This window comes from Homo sapiens, chromosome 17, assembly GCF_000001405.40.
Source record: "Homo sapiens chromosome 17, GRCh38.p14 Primary Assembly".
Classification (NCBI taxonomy): Eukaryota; Metazoa; Chordata; class Mammalia; order Primates; family Hominidae; genus Homo; species Homo sapiens.
This window is the reverse complement of record NC_000017.11, coordinates 31,166,293-31,183,395: the sequence shown is the minus strand read 5'-3', so window position 1 is coordinate 31,183,395 and position 17,103 is coordinate 31,166,293. Positions and strand designations below refer to the sequence as shown.

General features: G+C 37.1%; 1 protein-coding gene across 3 annotated transcripts in view; it reads right to left on the bottom strand.

Moving 5' to 3' along the window:
* Positions 1 to 17,103, bottom strand: part of NF1 (neurofibromin 1) — a 282,699-nt gene that overhangs the window by 194,280 nt on the left and 71,316 nt on the right. For all 3 annotated transcript variants that reach the window (NM_001042492.3, NM_000267.4, NM_001128147.3), the window contains exons 5-8: positions 13,399 to 13,505; positions 1,907 to 1,974; positions 1,611 to 1,686; positions 731 to 888 (exon numbers count right to left, since the gene is read on the bottom strand). In NM_001042492.3, the coding sequence (NP_001035957.1) occupies positions 731 to 888; positions 1,611 to 1,686; positions 1,907 to 1,974; positions 13,399 to 13,505 (409 nt within the window). The remainder of the gene's footprint in view (positions 1 to 730; positions 889 to 1,610; positions 1,687 to 1,906; positions 1,975 to 13,398; positions 13,506 to 17,103) is intronic.

Genomic DNA, 17,103 nt, shown 5'->3' with positions numbered 1-17,103 from the left:
GCTGATTCTGAACATCTCCATCTACAGGCAAACCATGAAGGAAACCATCTCATGTTCAGCCAGCTAAGAGTATTTCTCCAAAAGCAGCAAAAAATGAAAAAAAAAATATTTGCAAAACAAACTGCATATTGAAATTTCAGTAAAACCCTAGGATTAATACTCAGTTCTTTTTTTTTTCAATCACCTAGGTGATATTTAAAAAAATTTTAAGAGCCTCCTAGAATTACCAGTTGTCATGGTGCCAATTTCACTATAGATGGTATATGCGAGAGCCTTACCTTCCTGGCAAAATTCTTTGAAAACTGTTCTAAAATACTTAAAATGAGTTACTAGATAATTTCAGTAGCACTATATGGACACATACCCTAAGTACATGCAAATAACACACTATAAAAGTGATGAACTCAAGTAGGGCAATCCTTGTAGTGAATATTAGAGAAACTACGTTTAATAATAACAGAGGTATCGTTTAGTCTTCTCAGACAAAAGAATGAAACTAAGGGATTATTTTAAATCTTTGTTCATTGCCTGGTATTATTTTCCCTCTGCCAAATAAAATTATGTATGAGTATGTCTCTTCTAAGTCCATCAAACAAAGAAACCTAAAATGATCATTTAAATGGTTCCCTGAAATACTTTGCTTAAATAATAAGCCTAAAGTAATACACACCTTGAGTAAAATAAACTGCTTCACATCTAGATATAATGGAAATAATTTTGCCCTCCTTACCTTATTCATGTTGTTTTCATCAACCACGTCTTTGGATATATCCTGGATTATTTCTGGACACAAGATAAGGAGAATGATTTGTAGTGGCCAAACTGCTGCTTTACGTTTGGTGCTTTCAGCAAAACCATCCACCAAGTCAAATAGCTTTTCTGCACATTCTGCATGAAAAATATATTAAATGACATTATTAGATAGGAACAAAATCCCTGGCATTAAAGTAAAAGCTGACACTATGTAAAAACCCAAGGGCAACATTTTTAAAAGATAAACATGGAACTTCATTTAAGCAACTACACAAATGCATTCTGGTAAGTAGACAAGCAATGTAATACTGTCTATGTGTTAGAAGAGCTATCTTGATCTATCCTGGAAAAGCTCACATTTTAGAATGGATGATCATGTATTCAGTCTCACTGTGAAGGGCCTTATGCAAAGTGTGATGTACCCAAGCAACAAAGACTGAACAGCTTCCCAAAAAGAATTACCAAAGTTCTCCAGGAGTCTGTATTCTCTGCCTTGCAGTTGTGTCTTACATTATAGGTGAGAATATTACTACTTTATACACATCTCCCTAAATACAAAATAAAGCTTCAGAGCACATGCTTCTCTACAACAAAGAGCCAAACACCCCATCCTATCACAGCTCTAAAGATCTGACCTTCATTTCAAACTACTTTGTTTGCTCCAAGGAAAGGAAGAGGGTTGGGCCTAATTTAGAAATGTAAGAGAAAAACAGTATTTCCTATTTGACACCAGTTGACAATAGAAGATGTAAAAGCACCTTTATAACAAAAATAACTTGGAAAACGATGATAGGTTTTTATGTCACAAGTAGGCATTTAAAAGACAAAAAAAAAAAAAAAATCAATCGTATCCTTACCAGCCATATCAGTCTGTGGGATCTGGTACAGTTTTGTAAATTCATCTGGATAATTTTCTACCCAGTTCCAAAATGCCTATAAATAAAGAACCACATGTCTTTACAGTGATTTTTTGTAATACAGTAAATAAAATGTCACAAACTTCTAACTTCCTTCATAATAATATTACAATGTATTCTTCCTGAAAATGAATGTGAAACTATCACTCAAGTCATAACTTTTTGATTCAGGATGCTAACAACAGCAAATTTTACATCAAAAACAAAATTTTAATACCAGAGAGGTTGTAACTTACCTTTTCCAGGCTATTTATAACTGCTAACTGCGCAACCTTCTTTAGGGCTTTAAATTTAAATGCTGTTTCTGGAAAAAACACAATTTTTAAAAATTAACTCTAGAATAAGTTAACACAAATACAACTCAGAGCAAAATAACTTTCCATTTACGTATTACTTTTGCTCCAATATTATCTGTAAGCAATGAAAGGTAAAGACACCTAACATAAACCCAAAACTCGATAGTTGTCTGCTAGGAAAGAAAAATTCCATAAACAGCAAATATGCCTTGGACATCAATGATTGTGAGCTTTTTCTTTTAATAACTTGCTTTTTCAAAAAAAAGTATAAAACACATACAGGATATTGGTTCCTCCTATCCATGAGCATGGAATTGTTTTCCATTTGTGTCCTCTCTTATTTCCTAGAGCAGTGGTTTGTAGTTCTCCTTGAAGAGGTCCTTCACATCCCTTGTAAGTTGGATTCCTAGGTATTTTATTCTCTTTGTAGCAGTTGTGAATGGGAGTTCACTCATGATTTGGCTCTCTGTTTGTCTGTTATTGGTGTATAGGAATGCTTGTGATTTTTGCACATTGATTTTGTATCCTGAGACTTTGCTGAAGTTGCTTATCAGCTTAAGGAGATTTTGGGCTGAGACGATGGGGTTTTCTAAACATACAACCATGTCATCTGCAAACAGAGGCAATTTGACTTTCTCTTTTCCTAACCGAATACCCTTTATTTCTTTCTCTTGCCTGATTGCCCTGGCCAGAACTTCCAATATTAGTTTGAATAGGAGTGGTGAGAGAGGGCATCCTTGTCTTGTGCCAGTTTTCAAAGGGAATCCTTCCAGTTTTTGCCCATTCAGTATGATATTGGCTGTGGGTTTGTCATAAATAGCTCTTATTATTTTGAGATATGTTTGATCAATCCCTAGTTTATTCAGAGTCTTTGGCATGAAGGGCTGTTGAATTTCATCAAAGGCCTTTTCTGTATCTATTGAGATAATCATGTGGTTTTTGTCATTGGTTCTGTTTACGTGATGGATTACTTTCATTGATTTGCATATGTTGAAACCAGCCTTGCATCCCAGGGATGAAGCCAACTTGATCATGGTGGACAAGCTTTTTGATGTGCTTGTTGGATTCAGTTTGCCATTATTTTATTGAGGATTTTTGCATCGATGTTCATCAGGGATATCAGCCTAAAATTTTCTCTTGTTGTTGTGTCTCTGCCAGGTTTTGGTATGACCATGATGCTGGCCTCATAAAATGAGTTAGGGAGGATTCACTCTTTTTCTATTGTTTGAAATAGTTTCAGAAGGAATGGTACCAGCTCCTCCTCTAGCTGAATCTGGCTGTGAATCCATCTGGTCCTGGACTTTTTTTGGTTGGTAGGCTATTAATTATTGCCTCAATTTCAGAACTTGTTATTGGTCTATTCAGGGATTCGACTTCTTCCTGGTTTAGTCTTGGGAGGGTGTATGTGTCCAGGAATTTATCCATTACTGCTAGATTTTCTAGTTTATTTGCACAGAGGTGTTTATAGTATTCTCTGATGGTAGTTTGTATTTCTGTGGGATCGGTGGTGATATCCCTTTTATCATTTTTTATTGCGTCTATTTGATTCTCCTCTCTTTCTTCTTTATGAGTCTGGCTAGTGGTCTATTTATTTTGTTGATCTTTTCAAAAAACCAGCTCCTGGATTCATTGATTTTTTTTTTTTTTTAAACAGAGTCTTGCTCTGTCGCCCAGGTTGGAGTGCAGTTGCACGATCCTGGCTCACTGCAAGCTCTGCCTCCCGGGTGCACGCCATTCTCCTGCCTCAGGCTCCCGAGTAGCTGGGACTACAGGTGCCTGCCACCATGCCCGGCTAATTTTTTTGTATTTTTAGTAGAGATGGGGTTTCACTGAGGCCAAGGCGGCGGATCACGAGGTCAGGAGACTCATTGATTTTTTGAAAGGTTTTTCGTGTCTCTATCTCCTTCAGTTCTGCTCTGATCTTAGTTATTTCTTGTCCTCTGCTAGCTTTTGAATTTGTTTGCTCTTGCTTCTCTAGTTCTTTTAATTGTGATGTTAGGGTGTCAATTTTAGATCTTTCCTGCTTTATCTTGTGGGCATTTAGTGCTATAAATTTCCCTCTACACACTGCTATAAATGTATCCCAGAGGTTTTGGTACGTTGTGTATTTTTCTCATTGGTTTCAAAGAACATCTTTATTTCTGCCTTCATTTTGTTATCTTCCCAGTAGTCATTCAGGAGCAGGTTGTTCAGTTTCCATGTAGTTGTGTGGTTTAGAGTGAGTTCCTTAATCCTGAGTTCTAGTTTGATTGCACTGTGGTCTGAGAGTCTTTGTTATGATTTCCATTCTTTGGCATTTGCTGAGGAGTGTTGTATTCCAATTATGTGGTCAATTTTGGAATAAGTGCAATGTGGTGCTGAGAAGAATATACATTCTGTTGATTTGGGGTGGAGAGTTCTGCAGATGTCTATTAGGTCCACTTGGTGCAGGGCTGAGTTCAACTCCTGGATATCCTTGTTAACTTTCTGTCTCGTTGATCTGTCTAATGTTGACAGTGGGGTGTTAAAGTCTCCCATTATTATTGTGTGGGAGTCTAAGTCTCTTTGTAGGTCTCTAAGGACTTGCTTTATGAATCTGGGTGTTCCTGTATTGGGTGCATATATATTTAGGGTAGTTAGCTCTTGTTGTTGCACTGATCTCTTTACCATTATGTAATACCCTTCTTTGACTCTTTTGATCTTTTTTGTTGGTTTAAAGTCTGTTTTATCAGAGACTAGGATTGCAACCCTACTTTTTTTTGCTTTCCATTTGCTTGGTAAATCTTCCTCCAACCCTTTATTTTGAGCCTATGTGTAACTTTGCATGTGAGATGGGTCTCCTGAATACAGCACAGTGATGGGTCTTGACTCTTTATCCAATTTGCCAGTCTGTGTCTTTTAATTGGGGCATTTAGCCCGTTTACATTTAAGGTTAATAGTGTTATGTGTGAATTTGTTATTATGATGCTAGCTGGTTATTTAGCCCATTAGTTGATGCAGTTTCTTCACAGCATAGATGGTCTTTACAATTTGTTATGTTTTTGCAGTGGTTGGTACCAGTTGTTCCTTTCCATGCTTAGTGCTTCCTTCAGGAGCTCTTGTAAGGCAGGCCTGGTGGTGACAAAATCTCTCAGCATTTGCTTGTCTGTAAAGTATTTTATTTCTCCTTCGCTTATGAAGCTTAGTTTGCCTGGATATGAAATTCTGTGATGAAAATTCTTTTCTTTAAGAATGTTGAATATTGGCCCCCACTCTATTCTGGCTTGTAGGGTTTCTGCCTAGAGATCTGCTGTCAGTCTGATGGGCTTCCCTTTGTGGGTAACCCGACCTTTCTCTCTGGCTGCCCTTAATATTTTTTCCTTCATTTCAACCTTGGTGAATCTGACGATTATATGTCTTGGGGTTGCTCTTCTCGAGGATTATCTTTGTAGTGTTCTCTGTATTTCCTGAATTTGAATGTTGGCCTGCCTTGCTAGGTTGGGGAAGTTCTCCTGCTAATATCCTGAAGAGTGTTTTCCAACTTTTTCCATCCTCCCCATCACTTTCAGGTACACTAACCAAATGTAGATTTGGTCTTTTCACATAGTCCCATATTTCTTGGAGGCTTTGTTCATTTCTTTTCACTCTTTTTTCTCTAATCTTGTCTTCTCGCTTTATTTCATTGAGTTGATCTTCAATCTCTGATATCCTTTCTTCTGCTTGATTGATTTGGCTATTGATACTTGTGTATGCTTCACGAAGTTCTCATGCTGTATTTTTCAGCTCCATCAGGTCATTTATGTTCTTCTCTAAGATGGTTATTCTAGTCAGCAATTCGTCTAACCTTTTTTCCAGGTTCTTAGCTTCCTTGCATTGGGTTAGAACATGCTCTTTTAGCTTGGAGGAGTTTGTTATTACCCATCTTCTGAAGCCTACTTCTGTCAATTTGTCAAACTCATTCTTTGTCCAGTTTCGTTCCTTTGCTGGTAAGGAGTTGTGATCCTTTGGAGGAGAAGAGGCGTGCTCGTTTTTTTTTCAGCCTTTTTGCACTGGTTTCTTCCCATTTTTGTGGATTTATCTACCTTTGGTCTTTGATGTTGATGATGATACTATTCCTTTCTTAGTTTTCCTTCTAACAGGCAGAACCCTCTGCTGCAGGTCTGCTGGAGTTTGCTGGAGGTCCACTCCAGACCCTGTTTGCCAGAGTATCACCAGCAGAGGCTGCGGAACAACAAAGATTGCTGCGTGTTCCTACCTCTGGAAGCTTTGTCCCAGAGGGGCACCTGCCAGATGCCAGCCAGAGAGGACACAAACAAACGGAAAAACATTCCATGCTCATCGATAGGAAGAATCAATATCGTGAAAATGGCCGTACTGCCCAAAGCAATTTATAGATTCAATGCTATCCCCATCAAACTACCACTGACTTTCTTCACAGAATTAGAAAAAACTACTTTAAATTTCATATGAAACCAGAAAAGAGCCCGCATAACCACGACAATCCTAAGCAAAAAGAACAAAGCTGGAGGAATCACACTACCTGACTTCAAACTATACAAGGCTACAGTAACCAAAACAGCATGGTACTGGTACCAAAACAGATACATAGACCAATGGAACAGAACAGAGGCCTCAGAAATAACACCACACATCTACAACCATCTGATCTTTGACAAACCTGACAAAAACAAGCAATGGGGAAAGGATTCCCTATTTAATAAATGGTACTGGCAAAACTGGCTAGCCATATGCAGAAAACTGAAACTGGACCCTTTCCTTACACCTTATACAATAATTAACTCAAGATAGATTAAAGACTTAAACATAAGACCTAAAACCATAAAAACCCTAGAAAGAAACCTAGGCAATACCATTCAGGACATAGGCATGGGGAAAGACTTCATGACTGAAACACCAAAAGCAATGACAACAAATGCCAAAATTGACAAATGGGATCTAATTAAACTAAAGAGCTTCTGCATAGCAAAAGAAACTACCATCGGAGTGAACAGGCAACCTACAGAATGGGAGAAAATTTTTGCAATCTACCCATCTGACAAAGGGCTAATAACCAGAACCTACAAAGAACTTAAATTTACAAGAAAAACACAAACAACCCCATTAAAAAGTAGATGAAGGATATGAACAGACACTTCTCAAAAGAAGACAACAAACATATAAAGAAAAGCTCATTATCACTGGTCATTACAGAAATGCAAATCAAAACCACAATGAGATACCATCTCACGCCAGTAAGAATGGCGATCATTAAAAAGTCAGGAAAGAAAAGATGCTGGAGAGAATGTGGAGAAATAGGAACACTTTTACACTGTTGGTGGGAGTGTAAATTAGTTCAACCATTGTGGAAGACAGTGTGGCGATTCCTCAAGGATCTAGAACTAGAAATACCATTTGACCCAGCCATCCCATTACTGGGTATATACCCAAAGGATTACAAATCATTCTGCTATAAAGACACATGCACACGTATGTTTACTGCAGCACTGTTCACAACAGCAAAGACTTGGAACCAATCCAAATGCCCATCAATGATAGACTGGATAAAGAAAATGTGGCACATATACACCACAGAATACTATGCTGACATAGAAAAGGATAAGTTCCCGTCCTTTGCAGGGACATGGATGAAGCTGGAAACCATCATTTTCAGCAAACACAAGAACAGAAAACCAAACACCACATGTTCTCACTCATAAGTGGGAGATGAACCATAAGAACACATGTACACAGGGAGAGGACCATCACGCATCGGTGCCTGTCGGGGGGTGGGGGCTGAGGTAAGGGATAGCATTAGGAAAAATACCTAAGGTAGATGATGCGTTGATGGGTGCAGCAAACCACCATGGCACATGGACACCTATGTAACAAACCTGCATGTTCTACACATGTACCCCAGAACTTAAAGTATAATTAAAAAATTTGGAAAACATATACAGGGCCAGGCCCGATGGCTCACGCCTATAATCTCAGCACTTTCGAAAGCAGGAGTGGGAAGATAGCTTGAGCCCAGGATTTCAAGGCTACAGTGTACTATAATCATGTCACTGCATGCCAGCCTGAGCGACAGAGCAAGACTCTGTCCAAAAAAAAAAAAAAAAAAAAAAAGCAAAAGCACAGGTGTTTATGGGAAATTTTTAAAACCATCAATGATTCTATCATTCAGAGACAATCACAGTTAACATCTGGTGGTTTTACTTCTACCACTTTTCCTATGCATGTAGAAAACAAATATATTTAACATAACTGAGATCATATAAGCTGTATCAAACCTGTTCTTTTCCATAGTATCCCTAATTATTTCTGTATCAGTAAAAACTCTTTTTTTTTTTTTTTTTTTTTTTTTGAGATGGAGTCTTGCTCTGTCGCTCAGGCTGGAGTGCAATGGCACAATTTTGGCTCACGCAACCTCCGTCTCCCAGGTTCAAGCGATTCTCCTGCTTCAGCCTCCCCAGTAGCTGGGATTACAGGCGTGCGCCACTACACCCAGCTAATTTTTGTATTTTTAGTAGAGATGGGGTTTCACCATGTTCGTCAGGCTGGTCTCGAACTCCTGACCTCATGATCCGCCCACGTAGGCCTCCCAAAGTGCTGGGATTACAGGTGTGAGCCACTGTGCCTGGCCTATTTTTGATGGCTCTATATGCAATAGTAACTATTACACAAACTATTAAAACATATCATGTATTTTTAGTATGATACACTTAATTCTTTTTGAATCTTAATGTTTTCAGAGTATTACAGATGAACAAACTGTGTGTCTAAGGTTACAGATCTAATAAATGATTGAATTGGGCTTTAAAACCAAGGTCTTTTCAGTATGCTTTGATGCCCCTCATAATATTTAAGTCACTGTATTAAGTGACTGGTTATTTAATGTTTTCCAGTTTTAACACTGAGGTTATTTCTGTTATTTCACTATTATAAATAACATTAACAAATATTTTCATATCAACATCTTTTCCCACATCACTGCTTATTTAAGATAAGGAATCTCTAGAAGTGTCCAGTCAAAGAGATGAATATTTTTAGGGCCCTTGATAAAGATTACCAAGCTGCCTTTCACTAGGGTTGGGCCAAATGCTGCTATCACCAAGCAGCATACGAAAGTGCCTTCATCCTATCTTTGTCATCATAAAAGTATGTTCATTTTCTTTATTTTGCTAATTGGAGTGTTCAAAATAGTAGACTGCATTTTAACGCAAGTAACAGTAAACATTTCTCCATATAAATATATTGGGTATTTTAATTTCTTCTTCTTTAAGTTTATTGTCCACATCTAGAAAAAGATTTATGTTTGGAAAAAATGACCTGTCTATAAGCGATTTTACTGGCAATGGTCCCTCGGCAAAGAACTTCTCCTGTTGACTTTTAATGAAGGGATAAAGGTTTTTATTACATCTATGTAAGTGTCTAAGAGAGAGATGAGTCTTTTTTCTGGACTTGCAAATAAGTAACTCTCCAAATCAGTTTTTAAAAGTACCCCTTTGAATTCTCTTTGCTCTCACCCTCCACTGATTTCCAAATAATGACATTACTCTTCACAGTGCTCTTTAGCAACAACTTTACCTTTATGACATCTTAAATGTGTTATATACCATAATCTACTCTCAAAGCCAAAGTATCTTTCAGTTCTACAAGTTTCTTGTTGGACATCCTACTGATACCTCAAACTCAGAAGATCTAAAACTGAATTTATCATTTTCCTGGTCAAACCCTCTCTTCTGCCATCAACCTTTCCTTCCCTTTTCTGCTCTAACCAGCTTATTCTGTAATATTTGGTGATATCTCTCTAACCTCATATATCTAAATTGACTATCAAATGCTATGTATTCCATTTCTTTTTTTTTTTTTTTAGATGGAGTTTCGGTCTTGTTGTCCAAGCTGGAGTGCAATGGCGTGATCTCGGCTCACTACAACCTCCATCTCCCAGGCTCAAGCGATTCTGCTGTGCCTCGGCCACCCGAGTAGCTGGGATTATGGGCACGTGCCACCACACCCGGCTAATTTTTTGTATTTTTATTTTATTTTATTTATTTATTTAGAGACGGAGTATCACTCTGTTGCCCAGGCTGGAGTGCAGTGGCACAATCTCGGCTCACTGCAAGCTCTGCCTCCCGGGTTCATGCCATTCTCCTGCCTCAGCCTCCCAAGAAGCTGGGACTACAGGCGCCCACCACTACGACTGGCTAATTTTTTGTATTTCTAGTAGAGACAGTGTTTCACCGTGTTAGCCAGGATGGTCTCCTGACCTCGTGATCCACCTGCCTCAGCCTCCCAAAGTGCTGGGATTACAGGCGTGAGCCACCGCGCCCAGCCCATTTTTTGTATTTTTAATGGAGACGGAGTTTCCCCATGTTGGCCAGGCTGGTCTCGAACTCCTAACCTCAGTGATCCGCCCACCTTAGCCTAACAAAGTGCTGGGATTACAGGTGTGAGCCACTGCGCCCAGCCTCCACTTCTTTAAATACCTATCAAACTGGTCCCCATCCTTACCCTACCCCAATCCATCATCTGGATCTCCACAACTCTCATTATTTTTCACTTATATTACTGCATAACCAAGTCCCAGAAGTTCAGGTAACCCTCTACCAAGCCATCCTGCAAATTTCAAGCAAAGGGGTATATCTAAAATAAAATACTGATTAAGGTATTCTCTACCTCAAAGCCTTTCTATCACTTCCCAGGGCCACTAAAATAAAGCTTCGTAACTCATAAGCACAACAGTGCAGCAGTCAAGTATCTAGGTTCTAGAGACGAGCAGATGTGAACTCAATCTTTACTGAACAATTACTAGCTCTGTGACTTTGAAAATTTACTGAGGCCTCAGTTTCCTCATCTACACAAGAGATGATAATATTAATACTAGTATTGCGTCACAGGGTTATTGTAAGAATTGATGAGAAAAGGCATGCAAACTGCATAGCGCAAGGCCCGGTGCAGACTGAAAATATAACAAATGTTTCTCTCTCTCTCTCGATATATCTATCAAGATACAGATATATCTATAGACAGATCTGGATATACACATATCGATTGATATATCTATATACAGATAGGTATATCGAGAGAAAGAGAGAAAGAGAGAGAGAGAGAGAGAGACAGAGAGACAGAGAGACAGACAGAGACAGGATCTCACTCTGTTACCCAGGCTGGAATGCAGTGGCACAATCACAGCTTACTGCAACCTCAACCTCTTCCTGGGCTCAAGTGATCCTCCCACCTCAGCCTCCCAAGTAGCTGGGACTACAGGTGCGTGTCAGCACACCCAGCTAATTTTTTTTTGTATATATGGGGGTCTCTCTATGTTGCCCTGGCTCAAGCAATCCTCCTGCCTCGGCTTCCCCAAAGTGTGGGGATTACATGTGTGAGCCACCAGGCCTGGCCATATTTTTATTAAAATGATCTGACCTATTCTTGTACCTTCACATCTTGCTCATCTCTCATCCCCTCAAACAAATATATACTTCCTCTCTCACTTTACACTCACCCTATTTGAGTTTATCATAGTTTTTTTCTGCAAATAACTTGATAATGACATCACTTGTCTCATAAACCATGCCATGAGCTCCTTAGGGACAGATTCCATATTTTATTAATTTTTGTAATCCCAGCACTTAGCATGGCTTCTTATACATAGTTTCTCAACAAAGGCTTGTTGAGTTGTATTTAAAACACATTACTACCTTTACTACTCATTACTGAAAGGGTGCATTCCTTTTACCACTGTCACCAAGAGCCATATTTTGCTGGCCTATTTAATATCGGTTTTATACTTTATATATTTATCAGCATATACTCTAAATTTATGTTCATGAGGGAGCCGCATTCGATGGGAAAGTTACTTCAGTATAAAAGAAAGTCATTTATCCACACATTCAATTAGTTTCTCTTATTTGGACAGAAGAGACATTTCAGTTAATTATTACGGATTGAACATTTCTATTGTTTTAAACAGCTATTCACAGGCAACCTGGACTAGACTTGTTTCCAAAACATCACTGAATAGTTATGAAAAATCATAAAATCCCACTAATACTTCTTAACTTTAATTCATAGAGATCTCTAAATTTTACCATTCAGTTTCTCAACTGCTCAACGCTTAATAATAGATATCAAAATCTTGCAAATCTCAACTATTAATTCAATGGTGGTTTATTATAATCTAAAATAATTGCTGTCCACATGTTTGTATCTTGGCATAACAGCTAAAATCACCCCTATATTTTCCTTTATTAAAGTTACTGAATTAATTGTTGCTTGGTTTCACAATGGTAATGACCTAAAATCATAAATTATGAACAAGGGTAATATGAATAGAACACAGCTTTATATTATTCCTTTATATAGGTATTGCCTTTTTACATCTCTGGTGAGATAGTTATTGAGTTTAAAGGAAATATTAAGAAAACAAAAACACGTATTTTGAAAACTACATTGCAGAACTGATGTTTCTGAAGCTAATATAATTCAATCTGTTTTAGGTCAGATATTAAAAATATTATTGTTTGACAATTCCTTAAGTTACAAATAAAAATATGTGTGAACTGTATACGGTTTCATATCTAAATTAGCCAGGGTCTAATAATGCCAAAAACTAAAAAACATTTTTTTGTAAAATGAAATTTAGATATTCATACTCAGTTTATGAATATTCATTGATATCTGATTTACATGAATACATCACTGCTTACCACAGAATTTATCTCAATTCCTTCAGATCATACTCAGTTTATGAATACTCATTGGTATCTGATTTACATTAACACATCACTGCTTACTACAGAACATATCTCAATTCCTTCTGATCGTTTATTTCAATCCACATAATCATGTAAAGTACTTCCCAAGCTTTAAAGTCACATATTAGGTGTTATAATATCCCCATGTGGAACTACTACTGACATGTTCTACAAGGAGACAAAACCGGCAATGGAAGGTTAAGGGACTTTGTAATGCTATAAAGTCAGTCAGTAGAGAGCTGAAAACAGAAATGTCAGAAATGAAATCTCTGGCTCAATTCATCCTCTCACCATAACATCACAATCTCCTCGTTCCATTCTGCAATAAAACTTTGATATCCTACTACAGACAATCTTTGTAAAGTGCTACAATAGCTAAACAGATAGCTTCTATAACCTATAGCCACCCTTGAGAGATCAAATTCCAGAAAAATGAAATAATAGCACCCTTGCATTCTCTGTATTGAAAACAAAAATTGTAGTTAAGCAAAACTTTCCATTGCCAAGATTTAAAATGCTCATTTTCTCTACTGCATTATTTTCAAAGATTGAAAAATAATTACCCATTTGTATTACTGGTTATTTCACAAGGAAATGTCATTATAAAATCCAGTTTGGTGTTCTAGTTCAGCACAATTAATATAATTAGTACATTCATGATACTAGTTTTTGACCCAGTGATTTTTTTCAGATATATTATACATTTAAACTTACCCTTCAGGAGTCGTTTTAATTTTGCACAATCCACATTGATATACTGTAACAATTCTATATCATGAACATCAACATTGTCTTCTGAACAAACAGTTAATTCCTGTAACCTAAAAAGTAAAAACCAAAATTAACTTATCAAATTAAGTATTAGGGGACAGGTGTGGTATCTCACACCTGTAATCCCAGCACTTCAGGAGGCCAAGGCAGGAGGACCACTTGAGGCCAGGAGTTCAAGACCAGCCTGGGCAACATAGCAAGACATCATCTCTAAAAAAAATACAAAAATTAGCTGGGCATGATGGCACACACCTATAGGCCCAGCTACTCAGGAGGCTAAGGGAGGAGGATCTCTTGAGCCTAGAAGTTTGAAGCTGCAATGAGCTGTGATCACACCACTGTACTTCAGCCTGAGTAACAGAGTGGGCCCTATCTCTTAAAAAAAACAAAAACAAAAAAAGTCTTCGGGTATCCCTAAATTCTGAATTCAACAGATTCTTCCCCCAAAGATGAGTTCATAAGAGTAAAGACATATATAAAAATAAGGCAATAAATATTTCTTATAAAAACCTAAAGGAACATAACAAACAAGGGATATGATAAAAGAAACCATGATAATTCAGTAAACGTAGCATCGTAGCATCCTTATCCTTAAGATTGAGGTGTCTAAATATTGCCGACTTTCGGCCAGGGTTCTTTGGGAAAATTAGTTAATTCCAGGATGGGGGCAAGAGATATACAAGGTGAGGGCAGGTCACCTTGGGCTTGAAAACAGGAAACTATCAACAACTATCAGAACCATGTCAAATATCACACAGGTATGCACTTTAGGCATCTCAACTGTCAAAAATGGGATAATCTGAGGATCAAAAGAATTATGTCTACAATGGAAACACATACAATAAATTAAAACACACAAGCCTGTTATAATATTGAAAGAAAAAACTTCATGGGTAACCTTTCGCAACTGTTAGGGTACCAACTCATTCTGATAACGAATAATGGAAGTCAAGTCTGTATCCTGCATTCCCTACATGGACTGTATTGCAAGATAACTAAACACACAATGAAGCAAAAATCTTTCATAGAAGTCACAATTTTAAAATAAAGAATGAATGACAGAATAGAAAACGTTTCATTTTGCAGCCCCCAATGAAGTGGAATCCAGGCAGTGATCATCAGTGATTACTAAAAACATTAGGAAAAATTTATGGGAAACTGTATAATGAATACATAATGCTGATAACATCGAAATCCAATCACTGATCATAACATTAAAAGTCAATAATAGGACATGTTTCCTGATGTGATTCATTAGGAACCACATAGCATCATCAGTAAAGTATTCTTGTCCCCCCCCAGCCAAATGAACGTGAATCCAATGAAACCCAAATACAGAATGTAGAAAGGCAAATAACGCAGTCCAACAAATAAACAGCATGGGAAAAAATGGAGAGCAAGGTGAAGAAATGAAGAAATGATACTGATTAACAGAGGCTCAGGAGAAATATCAACCAATTCCAAAGTACGCATCCTATTTGTATCTTAATTTGAACAAAACAAAAAAGCCATTTCTGAGATAATGAAAAAACCCACAAATTTGGCAATGCATGATATTAAGGAATTATGATTCTTGATAGGTATGACAATATTATAGTTAAATGCTTAAAAATCTATTTATTAGAGATATATACTGAAATATTTACAGGTGAAATGATGTCTGGGGTTTGCTTTAAATTACTGAAAAGGGAAGAAGAGAAACCATAGCATGCCAGAAACAGTTAAAGCAGAGTAAGAGATGCATGGGGATTTGAAGTACTATTCTATGTGTATTTTTCCATTTTTCCACAATGAATAGTTTTAAAAATTCATATTTCCAATTACAAGTAAAAGTATAATTTGAATTAAGACTAAAACTATAATAAGTAAACTTGATTTTACTAACTTCTACTTTTATCAACTAGATTTTTGAAACACGAATGAAACTTTATATTCACAGGGTACATTTACTTTGTATTTGAAAACCGAGTAAGCCTTTTTTCATTGCACTTTTCACAGTTTGTACATGTATTTATGTAATTATTTGCTTAATATCCCTACTTCACAGAACATAAGCTTATAAGGACAGGAATATCTGTTTAAACCCCAGCTTCTCCTATGTTGAATATGAAGTTATCACAAACGTAGAAACATTTAACACTTAACAAATATGTAGATATTTTTAAACTGATAAAAGAAATTCACTTAGCCTAAATGTTAATAAAAGGCATTAAACTTTTCTTCCATTTTACACCAACAACCACAGCACTCAGATTTTCAAAAGTTGGTATTGCTAATCTATTAAATCATGCTACCTAATGAGGCATACTCATTATTCATATTAATAGACATAAAAAATATAAGCAGCACAATTAAATTGTAAACTTTTATAAATGCAGCAATAGAGATATGGTGAAAAGGCACAAATACTATATGGTCTTATAATTTATATGTATTAACTTGAATTTCAATCATTTAGTGCAATTTGCAAAGGAGTTATTAATCATCACACTAAACCTTCAGTTGATAAGAATGTAATCAATCCTATTCTTCCTTCTCAAATTCTCGTTTCACTCACTTTAGCTTTAATTAGACTACAGCTAACAGTACAACTATTCTAAGCACTTACATGAACTCTCTTCCTATCATCAGGGTAAGAAAAGCTCAGCATTTCAAGCTGGGAATGAGGTTGTCCTCAATGCTAAAAATTCCACAGCTGCTGCAAAGAGCGTAGAAATATGGAGTACGGCTCCTCAGAAAACACAACATCATAGATCAGCAATACCAACTTCTGAAAAGTTGACTCTTGTGGTTGTTTGTGAAAAATGGGAGAAAAATTTTGTCCCTTTTATAGTCTGGTACCCTTATAGAGAGCAGGTATTTTGTGAAGGTTAAACATCATTTCCGAAGCAGAGAAATCAAATAAAGCGTAGTCTGAGCAAAAGAAATGAACAGTAGAAAACCTATCACTAAAACAGCTAGAAAGTCTAGGCATACTGAAAGATATTTTAAATGTATAGGTCCAGAAAAGAAGAAGAAAACTGAAAACCAGAGAGTTAAGTGCACAAGTACATGACCCAGCCCTGCAACAAAGGAAAGATGAGTGAGGTTTTTGATCTCCTTAACCTAGGAGCTTGGGGCTTAACATCCACATGGAGACTGGATATAAACGCCTTGTACCCTAATAATTCAGGATTCTAACTTGGGCCCTGCATAAAACATGAACTAGAAAGAACAATGCACTCCCCCTGCCGCCCCCACTCCCCACAAAAAGAAAAAAAGAAAAAAACCTACCAGCACAAAGAAGCTTAACTGCTCTGCCTAAACTTTGGATAAAGTGAAAAAAGTCACCTAGAGCTGTTTACCTTCTAAGAGTTTAGGGTTCAAATTTATACTGCCCATACAGGCTGGGACTGAGAAATTAAGAAAAAAATAGCTCCAGAACTGGGCACCTGGCAAATGCAAATGCAAAACCATCACTAGAACACTCCCTCAGCCCAAGGCTACAAGGATTCTCAAAGAAAATACAGGCCACACTAAAGATAACTTTGCAATCAAGGATTCCAAAACTGAGATGAAACAATTCACTATGAATGAATCAGCACAAACAAATCAATATTAAACAATACTAAAGAGAACGTAAAATACGTTTTAAATGATCAGAGACAT